Source organism: Homo sapiens, chromosome 8, assembly GCF_000001405.40.
Source record: "Homo sapiens chromosome 8, GRCh38.p14 Primary Assembly".
NCBI classification, from domain to species: domain Eukaryota; kingdom Metazoa; phylum Chordata; class Mammalia; order Primates; family Hominidae; genus Homo; species Homo sapiens.
The window spans coordinates 17,752,844-17,777,451 of NC_000008.11; the positions used below are offsets into that span (position 1 = coordinate 17,752,844).

The 24,608-nt window shown below is 39.3% G+C and overlaps 1 protein-coding gene across 9 annotated transcripts in view, besides 2 other annotated features; it reads right to left on the bottom strand.

The window, feature by feature from the left end:
• The window catches only part of MTUS1 (microtubule associated scaffold protein 1), a 157,720-nt gene that overhangs the window by 109,042 nt on the left and 24,070 nt on the right, over positions 1 to 24,608 (bottom strand). For all 9 annotated transcript variants that reach the window (NR_156437.2, NM_001363061.2, NM_001363060.2 and 6 more), the window contains one exon: positions 874 to 3,118. Coding sequence is in view for 8 of the 9 variants with exons in the window: in NM_001363061.2 (NP_001349990.1) it covers positions 874 to 2,964 (2,091 nt within the window). In the remaining variant the exon portion in view is untranslated. The remainder of the gene's footprint in view (positions 1 to 873; positions 3,119 to 24,608) is intronic.
• Positions 11,949 to 12,450: an enhancer, noted in NCBI's record as "H3K4me1 hESC enhancer chr8:17622301-17622802 (GRCh37/hg19 assembly coordinates)". NCBI's record gives its function as "activates a minimal SCP1, AML or CMV promoter by ChIP-STARR-seq in naive H9 embryonic stem cells {active_cell/tissue: H9 hESC(naive)}" and the evidence as "EXISTENCE:reporter gene assay evidence [ECO:0000049][PMID:30033119]".
• Positions 12,451 to 12,950: an enhancer, noted in NCBI's record as "H3K4me1 hESC enhancer chr8:17622803-17623302 (GRCh37/hg19 assembly coordinates)". NCBI's record gives its function as "activates a minimal SCP1, AML or CMV promoter by ChIP-STARR-seq in naive H9 embryonic stem cells {active_cell/tissue: H9 hESC(naive)}" and the evidence as "EXISTENCE:reporter gene assay evidence [ECO:0000049][PMID:30033119]".

Here is a 24,608-nt window from a genome sequence, read left to right on the forward strand (position 1 = left end):
CTGCCAAAAATAGGGCTGAGGACACATGCCCAACGACCAACAGTGGCCTGTCAAATGTTTTTAAAACCCAGAAAACCAATTTCTACACACTATTCTCAAAAACACATGCATGTTTAAAGGAAAATCACCTTTACACTGCATGTGAATTCTTTATTCTTTAAACAGCACTCTCTAGGTCCCCCCCAAATATTTTAGACAGGCGCTATGGAAAACATACTGGTTTTTCACTATACATAAGTAAAAGATTTTATTTTATATACCAGGAATTAATATATTAAGGCTGCAAGAGGCTTCACACATCCACTAGGTCCAATCCTTTCATCTTTGGGTCTCGAAAAATTACTTGCCAAAAATCATTATTGGCCGGTCAGAGGAAAAATCAAGAACACTCTTGCTCATACAAGAGGGCTCTACTTCCCAGAGCTGCCTCCTCCGCAAGAGTCCAGGAGTTATTTTTATGTTGACATGTTTACCAGCACTCCCAAGCCCTTTCTTAAATGCTGTCCAATACATTTTAAAGTTGACAACCCAACTTTTTCAGAAAAATAAAATATAACCTGATTGTATCAGGCACTTAAACTACTAATTATACTAAAATATTAAAGTAACTTCATTTTTCAGCACACTATTAAAAGGAACGGTGATACTTGATACAAAATACTGAAATTGAGGATTTTTTTTTCCATATGCAGTTTTGTTGTATTGAAACCTATTAACACCCCAGTACTGACAAGACAATGAATTAACAACTAAATGTAAATCTGCCCACCTGGTTCTGCAATATTATTGACTAATAGATAACTAAATGCTAACACATCTCAGTTTTCTCCACAGTTCTCTGAAGCATGCAAAAAATATATATATATTACTTACCAAAAACAGAGAACCATATTCAAAAGTCTCATTCATAATCTCTTGTTTCAGCTCTTGTTTTTCCATAGATGTCCCATTTTCTTTTTCACCCTTCTTTTCAGGGCTAATCCTATCAATGTTGGGAACATAGGTCATTTCCAAACATTCTGCACTTTCCATTTTAACAGGGAGTATGCCTTTGATCTTCTGAAACAACGCAGAAACGGACCCGGTCTCGCATGCTGAGTTAGAAGAACTGGCTTTGTCAACATCTTCCTGATTCGATTTCACGGCAGATGTTGTTCTTGGAACCCTGTGTGAAGCATTTTTAGAATGAGTTGTAACATGCACAGCCTGGCTAGTAATGAGTTTATTAAACTGCTGCTTATGTGTCTTGTTAATTAGAATTTCTGCTTTTTTGTCTGCATTCAAGTCAGATCTCGGTGTTCTGCTCAAGACTGTTTGTTGTCTTGAATTCACTGATGAGGGTGATGAGGCACTGGTCTGCTGAGGTCTGGGCGTGACCTTTGATAAAGCAGCATCTTTGGGCTGCAACACTGCTCTAGACATAACTTTTGCTTTGACATTCTTGAAGTTTGGTCTTGGGTAACTTATAATTTCAGTTTTTCTAACTTTGCAGCCTATTGGGGTATTCGTTTTGATTGTTGATTTTCCTAAACTGGGTTTACACAGGTTCACAGGTGCCTCCTTCGAGTCTGGTATGTTTTTAAGCCCTCGATTACCCTTCTCCACTTTCTTACATTTCTCCGTCGCTTCAATCGGTGAAACAGAAAAGGTTACTTTTGTGGGTTCTAGGACTGGTGTTGACATGCACATCGTTTTGTCTGTGCTAATGACCATATCATTTGCATCCCAAGTCAGTCCAAATGACGAGCCCACCTTTTGTCCTGGCGGGCTACTTAGAATCAATTCTGAGGTATGATTTTGGGTTCCCAAATCCTTTCCTTTGGAGACCATTTGTGTGTCTTCAGTCTCAGTGACTTTATGCTCTGGGTTCAGCACTTGAGCTTCGCTCTTATCAAAAGCTGGCACCATTAAAGGGCATTCATCATCAATAAGACAATAGGACACTGTCTCTCTCAGATTTTGGCCCATTTCCTTGTGCCTGTATGAGCTCTGTGAATGTGGTTCGCTATTGGATTCATCATGGGATAAACAAAAGAACTCTTGTAATGCAGAATCATTGGGGACTTCCATGCCATCAGAAACTGGTGTTAGTGCTTGTGTCTCCTTTTCTCCAACTAGTCTTTGTTGTGATCCATCTGTGTACTCACTGGTGACCTTTCCTGAAGAACATGCACACTGATTTCCAATATCTGAAACAAAAACCTCACTTTGCATCACCACATCAGAAAATGCTGTGTAAGTCATGTCTTGGGCTTCTGATGGTGTGACTTGAGGGTTTTCAAAGCTTTCTCTATCATAAGTAGTTTCTCTTGCATGCGTCTTATCAGAATGGGAAGATGTCCAAGTGGAATAGGATAAAGAAGATGTACTTCCACTTCTCCTACCAGTTGGTGGCAGGCTTCCAGCAGTATGGAAGGACTGACTCTTTCCGATGGCATGATGTGATATAAAGGTGCAGTTAACTTTATCCACTGTCATGTCAAATGTTTGGTTTAGCTCCAAGGCATCACAGTAGCCTGCACAGTTCAAATTGTCATTAGGCTTCCACACAAAAGGCAAAGATGGCTCAACACTCTGGCCCTCAACTGCTTCTAGGGAATGACAACTGTGTTGCAGATATTTGGGCTTCTCAGTACCTACAAGTGCAGGACACTGACAAATAGAATCTTTATGCATATCTAACACCTGCTTACTAATGAAATCACTAGAAGACTTTTCATGACCAAATACTTCAACACCCTGAAGGCTTAAAGAAATATTTTCACCAGTAACTACAGCAGGGTCAGTTTCATAATCAACCACCATGTCATCTGGGTTGGCAGAATTCCAGTTCACACTGCTGGCTGAAGAGTTTTGTGTAGGTGGTGATTTCGGGTTGTATGCATGTGTATTTCCATCTTTATCACTGGTAAAGAAGGTTTGCAATTCATCTTCTATTTTATCATCTGAATTATCATCAGTCATCCTGAATAGTAACCTTAAACCTCTGCCATTTTATTTCTTCTTCAATTCCTTTTAAATGAGAGGGTGGGCAAAATGGTCTGTCTTCTAGGTTTTTCAGCACAGTTGAAAGGTTTTCAGTCTAAGATGCTCTGAAGATTAAATGATTTGTTGTTCCCTGGAAGAAATAAAATGTTTAACTCAAGTAACTATAAGAAAAATTAACAGGCCACCCCTTGGTTTCAATCACTAAGTGATTAGTTTCAATCACTTTATGTTCACATTTAGACCCCACAACTACTGATGTGGGTAACTGAGATATAATCAGGCAATCTATCACCGCTTTTCAAGATACTTTTTTAATTTGAGGGAATAGCAAATGGGGCAAAATGGAAGATGGGGTCATTGCTCGTTAACCCTGTCCCTGACTTTATAACTGATATGCCTCTCCCCCACTCCCAGGGACTTGTCAAAGAGAGGAGGAGGTAAATCTGGCAATAGTATTTTCTTCTTGTTGGCTGACAGAGTGACAATTCACCCAAATTTGCTTATGACAGTCCCAAAGTATGTCTGTTGTCCCAGGATGATTAGTAAACATGTCCCTTTCATTCTCAGAAGGGCCCCCCTATTATTTCCATGCAGAGTGATTATTAGACAGGCCATGAAAGCCCAGCAAATCAGCTGAAGATCAATCAAGAACTCACGTTTCTCCTTTGTTTTTATTCCTATCTTAAACATATGCTATTTCCAAATTGAAGGGGAAAAAAAAATTGTCGATTCTTAAAGGCTCCAGTGGTACCCTGTTGGAAGTCCCTTGAAATGTGAGTTACCTTATGTTATACACTAAACTGTTCCCCACCCCTCTCCAATTCATATGTCAAGCCCAAACCCCCACCCCTTATGTAACTATGTTGGAGACAGAGCCTTTAAGGAGGTGATTAAGGTTAAAAGCAGTCATAAGCGTGGAGTGCTGATCCAACAGAGCTGGTGCCCTTAGAAGAAGGGAAAGTGACACCAGAATGCTCTCCCACTCTTGGTTCATCCCCTCTCTCTACCAAATTAGGGTACACTGAGAAGAGTAGGAGAGCTCTCACCAAAAACCAAACCCTGAAAAGAACCTTAATCTTCAACTTTCCAGCCTCCAAAACTGTGAGAAAGTAAGTTTTTGTTGTTTAAGCCATCCAGTGTATGATAATTTGTTATGGTGGCCGAAGAAGACTTAAGTACCACATGCCCCAGCAATTCTACTCCTAAGAATCTACTGAAGAAAATGAAAACATATGTCAACATGGGAACTTGCACACAAATGTACATGATTCTAAATAGAAGCACTATTCATAATAGTCATAAAGTAGAAACCCACATGCCCATCAACTGAAGAGCAGAAAGCAAAATGTACTCTTATGCATTTGACAAAATATTCCTCAGCAATAGAAAGGAATGCAATATTGACACATGGTACAACACGGATATAATATTACACTTGAAATATTATATCAAATGAAAGAAGCCAGTCATGAAAGTCTACATACTATATGACACTATTTACATGAAATGTCCAGAATAAGAAAACCTAAAGTGGCTGCTAATTGGGATGACGTTTCTTTTGCGAGTATGTTCTAAAACTATGTACTGATGATGGCTGCACAATGTTATATACTGAAAACTACTGAATTGTACACTTAAAAATGAAACCATTAAAACACCCACGAAAGCATTTAAATCTAAAACTTTTTGCAAATAAATTATTATTGCTTTTTTGAGATGGAGTCTTGCTCTGCCACCCAGGCTGGAGTGCAGTGATGCAATCTCGGCTCACTGCAACCTCCACCTCCCGGTTTCAGGCAATCTTCCTGCCTCAGCCTCCTGAGTAGCAGGGACTACAGGTGTACACCTTCATGCGTGGCTGATTTTTGTATTTTTAGTAGAGACAGGGTTTCACCACACTGGCCAGGCTGGTCTCGAACTCCTGACCTCAGGTAATCTGCCCACCTCGGCCTCCCAAAGCACTGGGATTACAGGCATGAGCCACCACGCCCGGCCACTTTTGGGAAATAACTTAAATTTTATTATGCTTTTGGTCAAACTGCAGTGCCAAAGAAAGGTCCAAATGTTCAAGCTAGGACTGCAAACAGGTCATTGTGAATCCTAAAATGAGGGCTGTGTGATTTATATTCTGATGGAAAGTGTAAATTTGTTAACTCTTTTTACTACTGCAAACAGATACGCACACACTTGAACTAATTTTCTAATCCTAGTATTCAATGTCAATCCGATGTCACAGTACTGTTGTAAAGAAAAAAAAATATCCATGAGGGAGGGAAAAAATGCCATTTCGTGTGTTAATTCAACTTGCCGAATGAAGAGTAGGTCTCATTTTTCTATCTTGCAGCGTTTTCTCTGCATTCAAACTTCAGTGGCCTGAATAAAACCAGAATAGGAACTATGTTAAAACTGAAACGATCAGTTTTCTTCGCTAACAGTGCTCTGTGTCTTTCTGGCCAAGCATCCTGATACCAGCCTTTAATGGAATAAAGAAAGGCTGCAATGTTGATTTCAACAGCATGTGCACACATACACATCCAAAAAGCGATTTTGAATCCAAAAATGAAGGCTGCGTGATTTATATACTGATGGAAAGTGTAAATTTGTGAACCCTTTTTACCATATAACTCCTTAGTGAAATCACTGAATAGTTTATTGGCAAGAGCCTTAATAAAAGCTTTTATGAAACATAAATTAACATTTTTAATCCTCCAGTATAAAATACATCCAAGCTAAATGTTTAAATCAAGAAATATATTTATTCATTTTTAGGCTTACATGCAGGGGATATAATTTCCAAAAGCACTAAATATGCTACAGCTTTCTGCTTCCCTAACAGCTAATACTCAGTTAACAGACTGTGGCATAAGCAAATATATGCAAAGTGCACTGCAAACACGCACTTAGCATAGATCGTGGGAACTGTCTTTGTAAATAATTGTTAGCTTCAATTAATGGCATTTTTATTACTCAAGTTTCCTCTTCTGAAGTGCATAAAAGATGATTTTTAAACCTCATATAAATTGAATTAAGGGCTCATATGTCAAAGTTATTTTTTATTTATTTATTTTGAGACGGAGTCTGGCACTGTCGCCCGGGCTGGAGTGCAGTGGCGCGATCTCGGCTCACTGCAACGTCCGCCTCCCGGGTTCAAGCGATTACCCTGCCTCAGCCTCCCGAGTAGCTGGGATTACAGGCGCCCGCCACCATGCCCGGCTCATTTTCTGTATTTTTAGTAGAGATGGTGTTCCACTGTGTTAGCCAGCATGGTCTTGATCTCCTGACCTCGTGATCCGCCCGCCTCGGCCTCCCAAAGTGCTGGGATTACAGGCATGAGCCACCATGCCCGGCCCCAAGGTTATTTTTTAAATAAGTATGTAAGAGGATAAATAATTTTATCACTAGTCCTATGTTTGTTTTTACCAGTTGTCTTTTTTTATTTTTCTTTTTTTTGAGACAAGGTCTCACTTTGTCACCCAAGCTGCAGTGCAGTGATGTGATTACAGCTTACTGCAGCCTCAACCTCCTAGGCTCAAGCGATCTTCCCACCTCAGCCTCCCGAGTAGCTGTGACTACAGGTATGTGCCAGCATGCCCAGCTAATTTTTTTAAAAAACTTTTTGTAGAAAAGGGGTCCAGCTTTTCTCATTTATAAATAATACTAAACTGAAATCTTCACAATCTTTGACATCTGATCATTTGCCAAATTGCTATATTTAAAAAGGGGGCAGGATTCTTTATAATGTGCATGTTACTATATATGTATATTTTATATATATATATAAAAGTTCTCTTTCTTTTTATATATTTATATATAAAAATACGTAATATAAAATATATATATTATATACTGAGTTTTGCTTTTAAGACTCATATACTGTGGTCAGCATTGTCTCTGAAGCATTTTCCCATGTCATTATACTATAAAAACATTTTTAACGGTTGTGAAACGCCACTAAAGTTAAGGTTAAATGTTTTAGATTTACAAGCTAGTGGTTTACAAGAGTAACAGAAAAATAAAGAAGCCATCAACCATTTAACTTTCACTTAACATTTTAGTACACTTGGGTTTATGATTTTTTTTTAATTCACAAAAAGAGATTGGGTGTGGTCGCTCATGCCTGTAATCTCAGCACTTTGGGAGGCTGAGGCAGGAGCATCATTTGAGCCCAGGAGTTCAAGACTAGCCTGGGCAACATAGCAGGACCCTACCTCTACGATTTCTTTTCTTTTTTTTTTTTTTTTTAGCACGGTGGTGCATGCCTGTAGTCCCAGCTGCTCAGAAGGCTAGGGAGAAAGGATCACCTGGGCCCAGTAGTTCACAGCTGCAGTAAGCTATGATCATGCCACCACACTTCAGCCTGGGTGACAGGGACCCTATCACTATTAAAAGAAAACAAAACAAAATAAAACAAATTTCAAATTGGTGAGCAAAGAGACTAAAAAACCCACAAACATGTGTTCATAAATACTTAAGGATTGTTTTTATATAAAATAAATTTACTGACATCTCTTCTACTTTGTAGACAAGAGTAAAAAAATAGTGGTACAGGGATTTGGATATCAAAAAGGTTCTGCAGTTAAGCTGATCAGTTCCAGCAAGATGGAAGATCAACCTCACCATTCATGAAAAGAAAACAATGGCTTTAAGTCACCACCACCACCACCATGAAGACAAAGCCAAGGACAGAAAAGGGGTGACCGGCCTTCGCTCAGGAGTTTGTCAAAAGAGTTAAAAGTTGGCCATTTTGTTTTACTGCCTATTTTATTTCTCCCCGACTTTAAGAATGGGTCCTAAGCTTGCACCACTTGCTCGACATATATATTCTTTGCCTTCATCTCACCTGACTCATAAGCAAAGTCTTCATATTGCTGTAGTTGCTATTTGTAAAGCCTTCAAAGTTGCCATCTTAGAAATATTTTGATTAAACAAGATGCAGAAAGTTAAAAAATAAAAAGACAGAGAGTGTGCTGGAGGGAAAAAAAAAAAAAAAACTTGAAACAAACCATCCTCACCCAAAGGGATAATTTCTCAAGTTCTCTTTTGGTAGTACTACCTACCAGAACAAAGGTATAACACCAGAACAAGGTATAACACCAGAACAAAGGTATAACACTTGTGTAACACTCCAGAACAAAGCAGAATGATCAAGTTTCCTTTCTAAGAGAATCATTTGGGAAAACAAGGAGATCTTTTTCAGAGAACATTTTGGACCAGAGAGAACAAATTCCCCACTTATTAAAGAGCTGGGAATGTAACAGAGCAGCTCCTCTTAAACGGTTACCAAAATATATATTTCCCTAAGGATTTATAAGGATTAAAAATTAGTAAATATGTGCTGAAAGAAATGGTCAAAGAACTACTAGTACAAGCTTTGAGGTATAATTCCAATGCCTTTGGAAAAAAAACTTTCTAAATCTTAGCTTAAGAAAAGTGATTGTTTATTCCCCAAAGATAAAAAATTCCATTATTTCTTCATGTGAAGAGACACACCTAAAGAACTGAATCATTATATTAATTACAATTATTATCATATAATAGAATTCATCATCATTACCATATTAATGCTAGAAGAAATTTTAAAGATCCAATTCAAACTTCATTTTACAAATGAGAAACCTCTGAGAAATCAACTGCATGACGTGACCAAATCAGTTGTCAATAGCAGATTATACAATAGCTGTGTGCCTTATTTCACCAACTGAACTAGAAACTCAATAGAGGCTTATATAAGAGTAGATGTCTTCTATATCTCCCTATTACCCACAGTGTCTAGCTTAATAATTTGGACCTAATATAGTTAACCTTGTAACACCATATTATAACTATAAAATCAAGAATGTTTCCAAAAGTAAAACATAAGAACTGGCTTCATTACTTTATAACCACACAGAATGTAATTTTACTACTTATTTATGTTAATATATGGCACGCCAGTCCTTTAAGATGTGAATACAAATACAGTTATAATTTATAGCTTCCAAATCATAAAGCCATTATCAGTCTTCTTAAAAGTTTTTAAGAACTCACAAATCACAATAGTAGTTTAGCTCTGTAAGCTTTAAAACCCAAAATATTACCTGATCTTCAACCTCCCTTGAATCAAAAAAGATGACATTGGCACAACATCTAAGCTATCATTTTATCTTACTAAAAACGAAGCAGTTGAGGCCTGGTGCAGTGGCTCAGGCCTATAATACCAAGACTTTGGGAAGCCGAGGTGGGCGGATCACTTGAGGCCAGGAGTTTGAGACCAGCCTAGCCAACATGGTGAAACCCCGTCTCTACTAAAAATACAAAAATTGCCAGGTATGGTGGCAGGTGCCTGTAATCCCACCTACTCAGGAGGCTGAGGCAGGAGAATCACTGGAACTCAGGAGGCGGAGGTCGCAGTGAGCCGAGATCACACCACCACACTCCAGCCCAGGTGACAGAGCAAGACTTTGTCTCAAAAACAAAACAAAACAAAAACAAAAATTAAGCAGCTGAACAAAATGTCATCAGCAGCATGTATTATAAAAAATATATTCATAAGACTCCACCTCCTGTTAAAACCATTCAAGGTAGCTAACAGTTCTACTCTAAGCCTCAACTTCCTACTATTTTTCATAATGCAAGCTTACATTCTTAAATTTGCTCTTGCAGCCTACCTTTCATCAAACTTAATAGCCACCTCAAGCACTACGTTTAACGGAGCATGTCTACCACCTAGGAACCGAGTAGAGGAGTACTTGGTGGTCAATTTCCTAAAAGCATAACGATTTCCTATGAAGTTGCTTAAATCAACAGCAGGAAACTAGAGTTGATTTAATGCATTTCAAAATGGTGGACGGCTATGAAGTAATACAAGTTATACCTTAAATAATTTAGAAAACAAGTATAAATTTGAAATTACATCCTTTTATTCTGAAACAGTATTTCTCTGACTTTAATGTGCCCACAAATCAACTGGGCCTTTGGTTGGTCAACTGACTGATTCAGAAGGCAAGGATGGGGCCTGAGATTCTGCATTTCTATCCTTCTCCCTGGTGATACCAATCCTTTTGGTCCATGGGCCACCTTGGATTAGCAAAGATGCGGCAAAGAGCTTTGAGAAACACCTGTCCAGTTGACCAGATCAAAAACAACAGTGGCTGTCAGGGCTGACTGCTTTCACATCCAATGGTACCTTTTTTTTTTTTGAGACGAAGTCTTGCTCTATCCCCCAGGCTGGAGTGTAATGGCGCAATCTTGGCTCACTGCAACCTCCCCCTCCCGTGTTCAAACAATTCTCTGCCTCAGCCTCCTGAGTAGCTGGGATTACAGGTGCCCACCACCACGCCCAGCTAATTTTTTGTGTTTTTAGTAGAGGCAAGGTTTCACCATCTTGGCCAGGCTGGTCTTGAACTCCTGTCCTTGTGATCTACACACCTCGGCCTTCCAAAGTGCTGGGATTACAGGCGTGAGCCACCACGCCTGGCCGGTACCATTTCTTAAAGTAGATACAGACTTTCTCTACATTTGGACTCTTAATTTATGCTTTTGAATGCTGCTCTCAAGACAGCTCATATTTTGCATCTAGAAAATAACTGGAAATGCAGAGAATGTTGTTTCCATACCACTTCGGCTTATTCCTTCCACGTGGAGGGAGTTTAATTTGTATAACACTCCTGGCTTTTGACTCACTCCATCCAGGAGAAGTGAAGTGACTTAGTGGATTTTTGTAAATTTAGTGAGAATTAGCTGCACAAACCCAGAATGGCCCGACCTCTTTTTTTCTCTTGGGAATGAGCTGCCCACCAGAGCCAGGACGACGGTGCACTGAGGGAGATACTCGCTGGAGGCACTAAGGCAACAGGATTAACAGTACCCTACCCAGCCTGGAGCCCCAGGCAAAGGGAAACACAAGTAACTGTGGCTGGCTGGTTATCTAACTCATCTCCTCTTCTTTCTAGCACACAGATATTATGTTTCTATGTGTTTTGCAGGTAATGCTGTGTGTTCCAGACAGCAGAATGTGAGTGGACATCATATGTACCACCTCTGGGCCTGGACCATAGAACTCACACATAATCCTTCATGTTCTTATGTGACCACACAGATGAACAAAGCAAGCCAAGTGTGGAAACGTGTTAAAGATGACGGAACCACAAGATGGAACAAGCCTGGATCCCTGAATCCCTCCTTGGAGGATTAGTGCCCACAAATTGTAAACAGCCACCCAGATCTCAGCGAGCAAGAAATAAATTATACCTGAATGTTTTAAAGGGTTTTTTGGTGGGGAAAGAACAGTGATGATAGATATTCTTAAATACTGTAACTACTTTGAAAGAAGAGAACAACAGTTAAGAACTATGTCATTTTAGTCATCTTTTGTTTTGTCAAAACAAAGATGTTACAGGCCTGTGCTTGTTTAATATGAAAAAACTCTATGATCTACAAATCCTTGGGGATACAGAGAATCAGGGTAGCTGGTGACATCTGACCTATCCTCTTACTCACTGATATTGTTCAGAAATCCAAGCTAAGAGGTTCTAAAATAGCAGGGAAAAATGGTAATTTCTATGCACTTGCATTTTTATGAAAGAAAACTGCAAAAAAAAAAAAAAGGTAATTTCTATGTACCTGCAATTTTATGAAAGAAAACCCATTAAACAATAGTTTATAATAATGCATCCCCTACACACTGAACAATTTCCCTGTTCCTGTTTCATCTTTATATCTTCCCCAGGTCTGCTTCTTTTAAGACGTCTTCACACGTTAATCTAGTCCAAGGGCTGGCAAGCCATTTCTGAAAAAGGCCAATATAAAATATCTTAGGCTTTACAGGATGTGCGGTCTGTGCTGCATTTATTCAAGTCTGCTGTTGTAGAATCAAAGACGCCACAGACGATATGGAAATGAACAAGCGCAACTGCATCCCAGTAAAATGATTTACAAAAAAGAGGCAGTGGGCCAGACTTGGCCGTGGACTGTAGCTTGCTGACCCCTGAACTAGTCTATGCCCTAATCCCGTGGTCCCCAACCTTTTTGGCACCAGGGACTGGTTTCATGGGAGACAACTTTTCTGCGGACCAGGAGGAGGGGGAGGATTCAAGCATATTATGATTACTGTACACTTTATTTCTATTAGTATTACATTGTAATACATAATCAAATAATTATATAACTCATCATAACGTAGAATCAGTGGGAGCCCTCAGTTTGTTTTCCTGTAAGTAGACAGTCCCATCTGGAAGTGATGGGAGACAGTGACAGATCATTAGGCATTAGATTCTCATAAGTAGCTCGCAACCTAGATACCTCGCATGCACAGTTCACAATAGGGTTCACACTCCCAGGAGAATCTGATGCTGTCGCTAACATGACAGGAGGTGGAGCTCAGGCACTAATGCAAGCGATGGGGAGTGGCTGTGAACACAGACGAAGCTTTGCCCCCTCGCCTGAAGCCTACCTCCTGCTGTGCAGCCCTGTTCCTAACAGGCCACAGCCCAGGAATTGGGGAACCTTGCCGTGATGAATCAAAACTAGCTGTCATTGGCTGGGCATGGTGGCTCATGCCTGTAATCCCAGCACTTTGGGAGGCCGAGGCAGGCAGATAACCTGAGGTCAGGAGTTCAAGACCAGCCTTGCAAAACTCTTTCTCTACAAAATATACAAAAATTAGCCAGGCGTGGTGGTGTGCACCTGTAATCTCAGCTACTAGGGAGGCTGAGGCAGAAGAATCACTTGAACCCAGAGGCACAAGTTGCAGTGAGCTGAGATTATGCCACTGCACTCCAGCCTAGGAAACAGAGCAAGACTCTGTCTCAAAAAAAAAAAAAAAAGACTAGCTGTCATCTATACTTCACCATCATTAAAATACAGACACCACACACACACACACACACACACACACACACACACACACAAATGCACACACAATTTTTTTGGTTTTATTTTTATTTCTTGGCTCTTTCAGAGACAGGTCAACTCAATTCAAGGACAGTATACTCTCAATTTTCTCGTAAAGTCCATTACTACATCTCTTCATAAAAATAACCACTCACAAAATCAGGTACCATAGGGCTTCTAAATTACCTAACAACAAACAGAAATAGCACCAAAAATTGGTTCTTACTTTTCACAAATCCTCTCCACTAATTATCATTTAAGATATCATTTACTATATGAAATTATATACTTTACATACTATAAATTATACACTACAAATTAAGAGACCTTTATGCTAGCATTAGTTTACCTTTGTTTAAATAAAAAAGCTTAATTGTCACTTTAGAGGCATTTTAAGACTGGTTGACACTGGGTGCCGATTTAGTGAATTTTTGTCACCAAGTTCAAGTTTGCTACAGCTGTCAAAGATCATAAAACTGAAAGCATACGGTATTAGCAAAAACAAGTCTTATCAGTATCCATGCAATTTTAAAAAGAACAGAAACTTGGCAACTAATGGGTAATTAAATGTCTGCAGACCATCACATGTGAGTACACCCAGTACACAAGTAATCATCATCCTTAATGAGAATGAGAAAATGTTTAATTCCCACTCATGCCAAAGGCCACATACAAGTCTCCTTCCTCCATGAGATCTCCTCCTACTACTCAACATGGCTATCTTTTTTCAAGTTTAATAGGCAAACCTCTCTCAGCACTTGACTGGAATAACTGTTGCACCATTTGGGAGTTATTTTTCTTTTAGACATTTGCAGATCTTATCTGAAGGTGACTAAGAGCCCAGAGTTAAGTATTTGTGAGGCAATCTATGCGAACTCTGAACTTACCTAGTTGGCTTATATGAAATTTGTAGAACGCATGGCAGGAGCCTGTGTAAGAAAGTATTGTCCTGGTTTTCTGGTGGTTTGTTGTTGTTGTGGGGTCTGAGAATGTACAGCCAACCCCTCTTTTATAACAGAGAATTGATTTTGATACATATTTTAAAATATGATAGTGCAGAGTTAATGGATGTTAAAATTTTATTTTCTTGTTTTGGTAGGTAGATTGAATTGAGAATCATATAATCAGTATATCTGAGAATTGTATGACCAGTATATTTTAAAATATGATCTTTCTTTTAATCATATTTTAAAGTATGATAGTGCAGAGTTAATGGATGTTAAAATTTTATTTTCTTCTTTTAGTAGGTAGACTGAATTGACAATCATATGATCAGTATATTTGAGAATTATATGACCAGTATATAATAAGACTGGCACAACCATTTGCCATCTTTTCCTGTTATCATCACATAGTGTGGGTGGGGAGAATGAATGGAAATCACTCCAGAATAATGACAAATGGTTTTTAAAACTCTATGCTGAATACATTCCAGCTGATAATGACCGACTTTTCTTTTTTCACTTTGGTGATATCATCCTCAGGGTAAAAAAAAAAAAAAAAAAAAAAAAGGCATTTATAAAAAACAGTTTCATAAATCTTTTAGTTATAAACAGGAAAGTTTTATATTATGTGTCATTTCATTTCTAGACTGTTGATGATGATGATAAGGAATTTGGGGCCAATTTTGATATATGAATGTATTGTTTTTCCATGTGGTGATTAAAGCTTCCATTAGCAGTTTAAAAAAAAAGAGTGAGAGGAGGTAAAAGGGGCTGGGTACAGTGGCTCATAGCTGTAATCCCAAAACATTAGGAGTCCAAGGCAGGAGGATTGCTTGAGGCCTGGAGTTTGAGACTAGCCTGGGCAACACAGCAAAACCCCATCTCTTTAAAAAAAAAAAAAAATCAACCAGGCATGGGGGTGCACACCTATGGTCCCAGCTACTCTGAAGGCTGAGGGCAGGAGGACTGCCTGAGCCCAGGATTTCGAGGTTACAGTGAGCCATGATCACGCTACTGCACTCCAGCCTGGGTGATAGAGCAAGACCCTGTCTCTTAAAAAAAAAAAAAAAAAACGGTGTGAAAGAGACTGAAGTGCAGCAAGATGCTCCAAGTTTGGGGGTTGGGGAACATGAAGATAAAGAGCCAACGGTTTGGTCAGCTCAAGAGTTTGGCTTCTACTCTGAGAGCAATGGGAGTCTGCCAAAGGAGTTATGATGGAGACTGATGCTTCGAATTGGCTAAAGGTGGAAGATGTCCTAGTGAGGAGAGACTAGACGCACGAAACTGCTAGGGCAGATGGGAACTCCTGGCAGTGGCAGCACGAGGCAAAGGAGAGGACAAGCCAGACACGCTTAAAAGGCCACTGCTGTGTCCTCTGCCCTGAGCAGCAGAGAGGCTGGCACACAATATGTGCCCAATACAGGTCTGTTGAATTAAACATTATTTTAAAAGACTACTTCACTTACATTAATATTTAAAGAAGGAAGCCACAGCAGATAGTATCAGAGAGCTGTATAAATAATGTATCACATTCTAGAGAGATACACGAAGGATTTACGCTTTGAGTATAAACTAGGAGAGTTTTATAATGTTCTCTCTTCTCTTTCTTCAAATAAACTAATATGTGAGCTCAGGATATTAATTCAGGATTTTCCAGGGTCTTGAAGGTCTTTTACTCAATCCAAAATAAATAAAAGAGAGGTTCAAAACATGAATAAGAGATCTGGGTTAAAATGAATAATTTATTAAGCATAGAGACAGATACTAGTTTAATTATCCAAGGAAAACTAATTTGCTTCTTTCTAAAACACACACATTTAAGACTTTTTAAAAGAAAATCATATACAACAAAGAAAGCTATGAGAGAAACTCTGTTTATGCCATGGTAAAAAAAAAAAATTAAAATGACCTCAACAAAAATATATCACCCCCTTTCCCTACCCACCCTCAAAGCCACATGAGGTTTGTATTTAAAATATCTTTAAGAGCCTTTTTGCAGCAATTAGAACATTTTTATACAAACAGTCAAAAATTATCAAGTGACTTATAAGAAGATAGAAGTCTCCTACCTCCAAAACAAAAAACAAAAACAAAAAACCATTACAAGACCACCAGCAGAGAAGAGAGAGTCCTGGTGGGCAGACAGCATTCCAAAGTCCTCTAAAACTGATATCAACACACCAGAAAAGTCAAAGAATCTCCCAAAAAATCATGTTTACACCAATAAAGATTAAACAATTAATGGTATTTTGTTTACACTTCTGGAGTTTTCGGGGGATTTTTGTTTTTGTTTTTTTAATATGGTTACAATTTAAATGGGCATTGGAGTGGAAAACTGACTTACTCAGTCAATAGCACAGTATAGTCAGTTTGTCTTAGATAACTCACACTATGCAATTAAAAAGCCTCTGCTTGGGGGTGGAGGAGCAAGCCCCTAGCTGGTGATAGCAAAGACAGCACCCCGAAGGAGAAGCTCCCAGCAAAGCCTGCGGGAAGTATAAAGATTCCAGACAAAATCAATTCACTGACCTGCTAAGGTTCAAGAATTCTGATTCCTCAAGTTCATTCCAAAAAATGCTTTTATTCCTTTTTTTTTTTTTTTTTTGGCTCAACAACTTCCTAAAACCTCCAAACCAGCATGTGGAAGACCTTACACATTCACAAACTCTTAAAACTGCATTTCTGAAGGCTTAGTCAGTAATTTTTTTTTTTTTTTTTTTGAGACAGAGTCTCGCTCTGTCGCCCAGGCTGGAGTGCAGTGGCGCGATCTCGGCTCACTGCAAGCTCCGCCTCCCGGGTTCACGCCATTCTCCTGCCTCAGCCTCCCCAGTAGCTGGGACTACAGGCGCCCGCCACCACGCCCAGATAATTTTTTGTATTTTTAGTAGAGACGGGATTTCACCGCGTTAGCCAGGATGGTCTCGATCTCCTGACCTCGTGATCCACCCGCCTCGGCCTCCCAAAGTGCTGGGATTACAGGCGTGAGCCACCCGCGCCCGGCCCTTAGTCAGTAATCTTAATAAGGAAAATGGTTTAACATTTTCAGGGCATCCTATATTCTTTAAACATATCATAAAAGCAGCAGAAATAACAAAGTTGTGTTTCCCTCAATCCTCATCTCTTGCTGTGAAGACGACATGAAAGCCAAATTAAAATGCTCAGATCATTTTAAATCATAAGCACTCAAGCAGTTTCAGTTTTCTTCTCTCTCTGACCCACTGCCACACTCTTTGCTTACACACACACACACACACACACACACACACACACACACACACACACGGGGGGGGTTGGGGGGGAAGCACTACAGTCAGAATCACAATGCAAAAGTGAGAAATAAGCAAGGTTCTAGACACTTCAGATGACATATAAAGTATATAATACATAATAATTTCCTGCCGCACTCCATACAATTGTTGGTGTAACCATAAAATAACCACAGTCATTTGTAATAATATACAACATTTTTACATGTTGCTTAATGAGAGTTTTTGTACTTGATATTTTAACCCAAAGCAGAGCCCTGCATTTGATTATTATCCTTTACAAAAAGTACATAAGGGGATACTCACTTTTCTGCATAATCATCTTAGCATTTTCAAACGTTCTAGAATTTAGCCTGAAGTAGGGGTAATCTAATAAAGTATGATAAATACCACAAACAAAATATAAGCAGGTGGAAAGCATCTAAGATTTAAAGAGCAGCTTCAAAAAAAAATCCCTTTTGAAACTTGAGTGGTTTTAATTTAAATGCCCCAAATCAACCATACCAAGCTAACTTACCTATATTCCTCAGAATATCAAAACCAACTGCTATCAACTTAAGCAAGAGATGTCTTATTCGAGTTATCTGTCCAAACAAAATTTTTTAATGCCTTTGGTTGCACCTCAGAGACTGTCTTTTTCATGGAGCAATGCAGAAACTGCAACCAGACTACAGGAAATACAAACACCAGACCGTACAATGAAGCCTCTCTGGGGACTATGATTATTCAAAGACAGTTCAGCCTTGCAGCAGTAATAGGGCTGAGTGTAACGACTTTTTTATTCTTCCAAACTAAAGAATTTTCCTTGGACTCTCTGCCAATGAAACATCACAGACTTTTCTGAGGCTTTACAGGCAGAAAACTTGTACGCAGATGTTTCTTGGTTATACTGTACACATCACTTGCAATAAAACTGTAAACAAACAAAAACATGACAAGTTCTTTAAGCAATTTTCAGATCATCTCTGAAAACAGAAGGCACTTTTGCCTGTCAGATTAAATCAGCATTCACTGTGGCTGGGTGACTGCTTCTGGATTAAAGAAACTGGAATATTCCAGTGATTTGGATAATGAAAAAGAAAAAAAGTTTTAAAGGTAAGATGTTAAGTATGCATCTATAATATAATTGGAATTTAGATGTAAGGAATAACCTACATTAATCTGGCTACAATTGTACTTCTCACTCCCTTGACTAATTACCTATACCAATAAGTTCTTAGGAGTGTTATATCCTTTAAACTTAGGAACTTCAGACTGCTCAAAAATTATCAAGTTAATAATAAATAAAATAATCTGTGTAAGGAAAAGTTCCTGAAAGATACATACCTTCTCATTAGCAGTGGTTCACCATCTCAGGTCAATGATGAGGAAGGGGAGGCAGGGGGCTGCACTGTAAGTTTACTTTATACATTTATATAATTATTTAAATATTTGTAATTACTTTTGGAATTTTGAATATCAAAACAAAATAAATTTATGCTCCAATGGAATCAAATACATGCTTCATGCAATGAAGTTTTCAAATCAACGTTTCTTTCACAGACATTGCAATTAAAAGATCTGCAAATCTTTTATTCAGAATCTTGGGCCAGCGTATCTGCTCTCAGCAATGTGAATAACTAGTGTCATCAAAGCTGTTACTTTACAAAATAGTCAGTGTAGTCCCTAAATAAATGTCTTTCAAATTCCAACAACAGATTGTCTGAATCAGACACCTGAAATGCATGCCAAGAAGTCTTGCAAGCAGGCAGTCTACGCATGAAAACAAACCCTATGATAGATTCTCTTGAAATTAAATACAACTCTTACAACAAAGACAATTTTACTATTTTCCGATAAACAGGGTCCACTCATGGAAAAGAGATCGACTAACATGGATAATTCATCGTCCAGTGTTTACAGTGGCTGAGTTCATTTAACCCAATCTACTAGTTCTGTATGTGAGAAAACTGAGATCTAGAGAAAAGAAGTTACGATTTCTACTAGTGTCTACTGCATAACTCTATGAGTCACCATTCACACCACATTCTATGGACAGAAACTTCACTGGTCCATTTACATTAAAGATGATGGCCATGGTGGCCCAGAATTGTGCAGGGTAGTGGCCTGGATGACTTTTAAGATGACACAATGATTTAGAAGCAGAATCAGGATCAGAATTATCTCCTTCCTCTCCTTTAGTTTACCATCATCTTGCCTCATAAATGTATGAAAGAAAGCAAAATACAAGTGCATTTAGGATAAAACTCTAATTTTTATCCTTGAAATGGCATGAATACTGCAGACTAATCCTACCTTCAGAACATCGTATGTATTAAAAGGAATGCCTATAGAAACTAGACACACATGTACAAAACAAAATAACTGAAACATTTAAAGATGTCCTACACCATTATACTATATTAAATACTTTGTGTCCCAAAGCTACAGGTGAAAACAAGAATAAATATTTCACTCGCATTATCCAAACTTGAATCCCTATTGTTTTCAATATCCCTACTGACTGTACCACAGAGGATTTAAAGAGATTCATAATTATGACTGTCATATTATATCTGCTAAAACATAATTATCTGGTCCTGCTTCCCAGTAGAAGAGGCCAGTGTACTCTCTACTGATGTCATACCAAGGAAGCACTTATGGCTACAATCACTGATGTCAATTAACATAAGAAACCAGTACATTCAGTACTCTAGTAGGTTGTTGCAAAGCAGATTAAGTTTTCCTACAAAGAGAAACTAGGCCCAAAACCAGACAAAGTATGTTCAACTTCTTCTTATAACCCACTATCATTCAATGTTAGAGAAAATCTAGGCACTAAGTAAAAGCATTTCAGATCATCACTTTGTAAACAGCCAGAGTAGTTCTTCTAATTTCTGAAACAATCACCTGTAATTCAGCACCAAAAAAACACACAAAGGAATAAAAGGTAAGGAAAAACCATATGAACATAAGGTGCCCTTGAAAAGTACTGGCATGGAAAAGACTTGAAGATTATATAACAAGACTAATCCATATTAGAGAATCAAAAGGAGATTAAACTCCCAAAGATACGTTCAGAAGAAAAACTACTATGAACTAAATTATCCTTCCTTTCCATATTGTTCATGCAATATACACACATGCACAACTTTCCCCCACTTTCACCTAGTTGGGATGAGATGTTAATTTAGGCTGAAGGACTATTATTTCTCTTTACTCCTGTTATGCCAGAGAGGATCCAAGAGGAAAAAAGATATACAGTAAAATAAAAAGATTAGGAATCAGAGCCCCAAGGAAAATAAAAGACTGTATTAAACATCACTGCAAATCAATGTCTCTGAACCGAATTTTTTAAATATTTTGCAACGTCTCAGATCACCATACGTAGTGCAGGAGCAGGGGAAGAGTCTTCAAGAGTCATGCTAGCCACACTGTCATTAGAGGTGGCCTAGAGATGCTCTGGGGTTACCTGAAACAAGCCAAAAAGCCCAGTGTCTATATCAATGGCTTTCCTACATAAAGGCAAATCTAGGGTAAGATACCTCACTTTGATGTATATGTTACTATGTTTTCTGTTGCTACACCATAGACTGGGTAACTTATAAGCCATCAAAGTTCATTTAGCTCAGGGTTCTGCAGGCTTAGAGTCCAAGAACACAAAACTGGTGTCTGGTAAGGACCATCTTGCTGTGTCATAACATGGAGAAGGGCATCACATAGTGAGACAGTAAGAGCCTGCCAGCTCAGGTCTCTCTTCTTAGGAAGCCACCAGTCCCATCATGGGGTCCACACCTGATGAAATTATCTAAATCTAATTACCTCCCAAAGACTCCACCTCCAAACATATAAAATTTGGGAGTCACATTCAAATCATAGCAATGGAGCACCAAAATCCCACAGGGTCTTTCCAGGAAGAACTCTTGACATGTCCCTCATCACTCCTGTCTATGTCAACCAGCTTGGACACAGATCTACACATGCATGGATCAATGACTAGCATTTCTGAGGTGGAAGCCAGGGCCCACAGCACACTATATAAAAATAAGACTAGGAGGCACACCTAACCATTCCAACGTCCATGTTCTTCCCCACTGTGCAGCCCTCACATCTACATTCTCTCCTTTAGCTCCCTCACCTCATTATATGACCTTAACAATCCTGCTGGTAAAGGCAGTCCCCAACCCACAAGCATATAATCTTCCAAAGTTTGCCTGGAGATTTATTTAACTTAAAGCTCGTTTTCCTAGATAAACGCTACTAACAGCATTTCTCTCTTAATAGCATTCTGTTAAGAAGCTCCCAGGCTGGCCTCCAATCTGAAACCCATTTAAACCACAATGCAGCTACTACTAGTTTGGGAAAACACTAGCCCTTCACATCTGCATAAACGCCAAACAGCTGAACACCAGTTAGGACTTTGTTTCCATGTGTCTAAAAGAAACAAAGGTGTTGCTTTTCCTACTTGATTCTGGCTAGTACCACCTCAGTCTCAAATCAGAAGAGGATAAGGACTGGGGAAGAAAATGAAAGTAAGTTTACCCCTTTCTAAAATGTGAAGAAAAGGAAGCGGAGGTGATGCCACCAGGCATTGGGGTGAATCTCATGAGAAGATGCTCAACATCATTAGTCTTTAGCGAGATGCAAATCAAAACCACAATCAGATACCACTTCATACTCGTTAGGACACCTATGATCAAAATGCTGGTGAGGATATGGAGAAATTGGAACCCCCTTGCGTTGCTGGTGGAAATGTCAAGTGGTGCAGCAGCTATGGAAAACAATTCTGTGGTTCCTCCAAGAGATAAACATAGAATTGCCATATGATCAAGCATTCCACTCTTATACCCCCAAAAGCAGAAAATAGAGACTCCAAGAAATCTGTACATCCATGTTCACAGCAGCAGTATTTACAATAACCAAAAAGTGGACACCATCAAAGGTGTCAGTGGCCACCACTGACAGATGAGTGGATAAACAAAATGTGATCTATACATACAGTGGAATATTATTCAGCCATAAAAAAGAATGAAATTCTGTTACATGCTGCAACATGGCTGAACCCTGAAAATATTATAAGTAAAAAAAAAAAAAAAAAAAAAACCAGAAAAGGACAAATATTGGATGATTCCACTTACATAAAGCACCTGGAGTAGTCAAATGAATAGAGACAGAAAGTCAATTCGAGGTTACCAGGGGCTGGGGCAGGGGAACATGGGGAGCTATTGTTAAATGGGTACAGTTTCTGTGTGGGATGATGAACAAGTTCTGAAAATACTGGTGATAGTTACACAACTTTGTGAATGTACTTTATGCCACTGAACCGTACACTCAAAAATGGTTGAAAACGTAAATTTCATGTTATATATATTTTACCATAATTTTTTTTTTAAAGCAACACCACAAATTAGAAGAGTCAGAGCTAATGGCTTCACCTTTGGATACCTCAACCTTCCCAATCTACAGAATAGGAGAAAAATACCGTACCACCTCCGGGATCCTGAAACTTCAGGCTGCATCATGAGTATCTGAGACCTCAAATGCTAAATCCTCAAATGTAAAGGGTCTACACGACAGCATGCATCACGCCCTACACACCTGCCAGGTGGAAGCTTTTCTAAGCTAGATGGTCGCACAGAAAGCAGCCATGTGTACATATGAACAAGTTTCCTAAGTTTGCAAGTTCTTTGTTAAAATCTTCAATGAAATTCTCACTCTATTAACTTAACTATCATAAAAGAGACATTATATCATAGAAGAGTAAAATTATCATAGTAACCACAGCAAGTATGCTGACAAAGATGTTTTCGATGTAGCTGTTTAGAATAAATTACTAGGACAAACATCTGGACCCATGGCCACCAGGCACTGGGCAAACAGAGCTCAGGTACAGTCTCCTGGTGAGGCAGCCTGGCCAACCTGGGTTACCCCAGTGGGGGCCTAAAAATAAAAGTGACAAGACACACAGCCCGATACTGAGTCGCATGACTACGCAGGCATTTCAGAGTGAAGTCAAGGTGCTTAGGTTCCTACTGGGCCGCCAAGCCATTCAGCATCAGCGCCGGTCCCATCTGCAGGCAAAGAATGACACAACTACCTCTTCATGGAATATTCCCAGTCAAAGCCCACTTAATAACGAGGTCCTTCTGCAGGGTTAAACAAACCTCAGTTAGAATGCAGCATGGTGCTGAGTGGTCTTTCAAACTTGCTTGTATTTACAGTCAGCCAACTGCAGATTGAACATAGTCGGGAGAAAAAAAAACAACAATACAAAATACACTATAACATAACTAGTATAAATGTATTTACATAGCACTTACATTAGGTATTAAAAGTAACCTAGAGATGGTTTACAGTCTATGGAAGGATGTGTTTTTATATGCAAAGACTACAATATTTTATATAACGAACTTAGGCATTCTCAGATTTTGGTATTGACGGTGGGGGCGGGGGTGATCCTGGTAACAATCCCTGCAGAGACCTACAGACAATACACAGAAGTCTCACATACGAGGCCCAGTGCAGTCAGGCCTGTAATCCCAGCATTTTGGGATGCCAAGGTGGGCGGATCACCTGAGCTCAGGAGTTCACCAGCCTGGCCAACGTGGTGAAACCCCGTCTCTACCAAAAATACAAAAATGAGCTGGGCATTGTGGCACATGTCTGTAGTCCCAGCTACTTGGGAGGCTGAGGCAGCAGAATCACTTGAACTCGGGAGGTGGAGGTTGTAGTGAGGTGAGACTGCACCACGGCACTCCAGCCTGGGTGACTGAGTGAGACTCTGTCTCAAAAAAAAAAAAAAAAAAAAAAAAAAAAATCTCAGATACAAGGCTTACATAAAGAAAGCATTCAATAAATGTTGACTGTAAATTAGATTTTCCTTGCTATTAAACATTACTCATAGGTGACGATGAGTGATATTTAATCACTATTAACAACTGTTTTCCTATCTAAATACAAATTTAAGGAAATATATGCGTAATACTCCCTGGGCTCTCTCCTCTTTTAAGACCTAATTGTAATTGCGCTTTCGGAGAGCAATTTCAACAGCTGTAAGACTTGATTTCATGATATCTTACTTAAAATGGAAAACCTGGGTGTGGGCTTAGTCCACAACAACCCCCTTTCTCTGAACACAGCCCCTCCTACTCACTGAGGTGGGTTCCACTAAATGAACTAGTGAATTAGCCCTCGTGCAGACACTTAAGTCTAACAGTATGCAATTTTCCCACCCCCAGCATTTGGATTTGAAACAGGTGGCTATGGCCGGGCACTGTGGCTCATGCTTGTAACCCCAGCACTTTGGGAGGTCAAGGTGGTTGGATCACCTGAGGTCATGAGTTCGAGACCAGCCTGGCCAACGTGGCAAAACTCCATCTCTACTAAAAGTACAAAAAAAATTAGCCAGACATGGTGGCGCACACCGGTAATCCCAGCTACTTGGAGGCTGAGGCAAGAGAATCGCTTGAACCCAGGAGGCAGAGGCTGCAGTGAGTTGAGATCACACCACTGTACTCCAGCTTGGGTGACAGAGGGAGACACTGTCTCAAAAAAAGAAAAA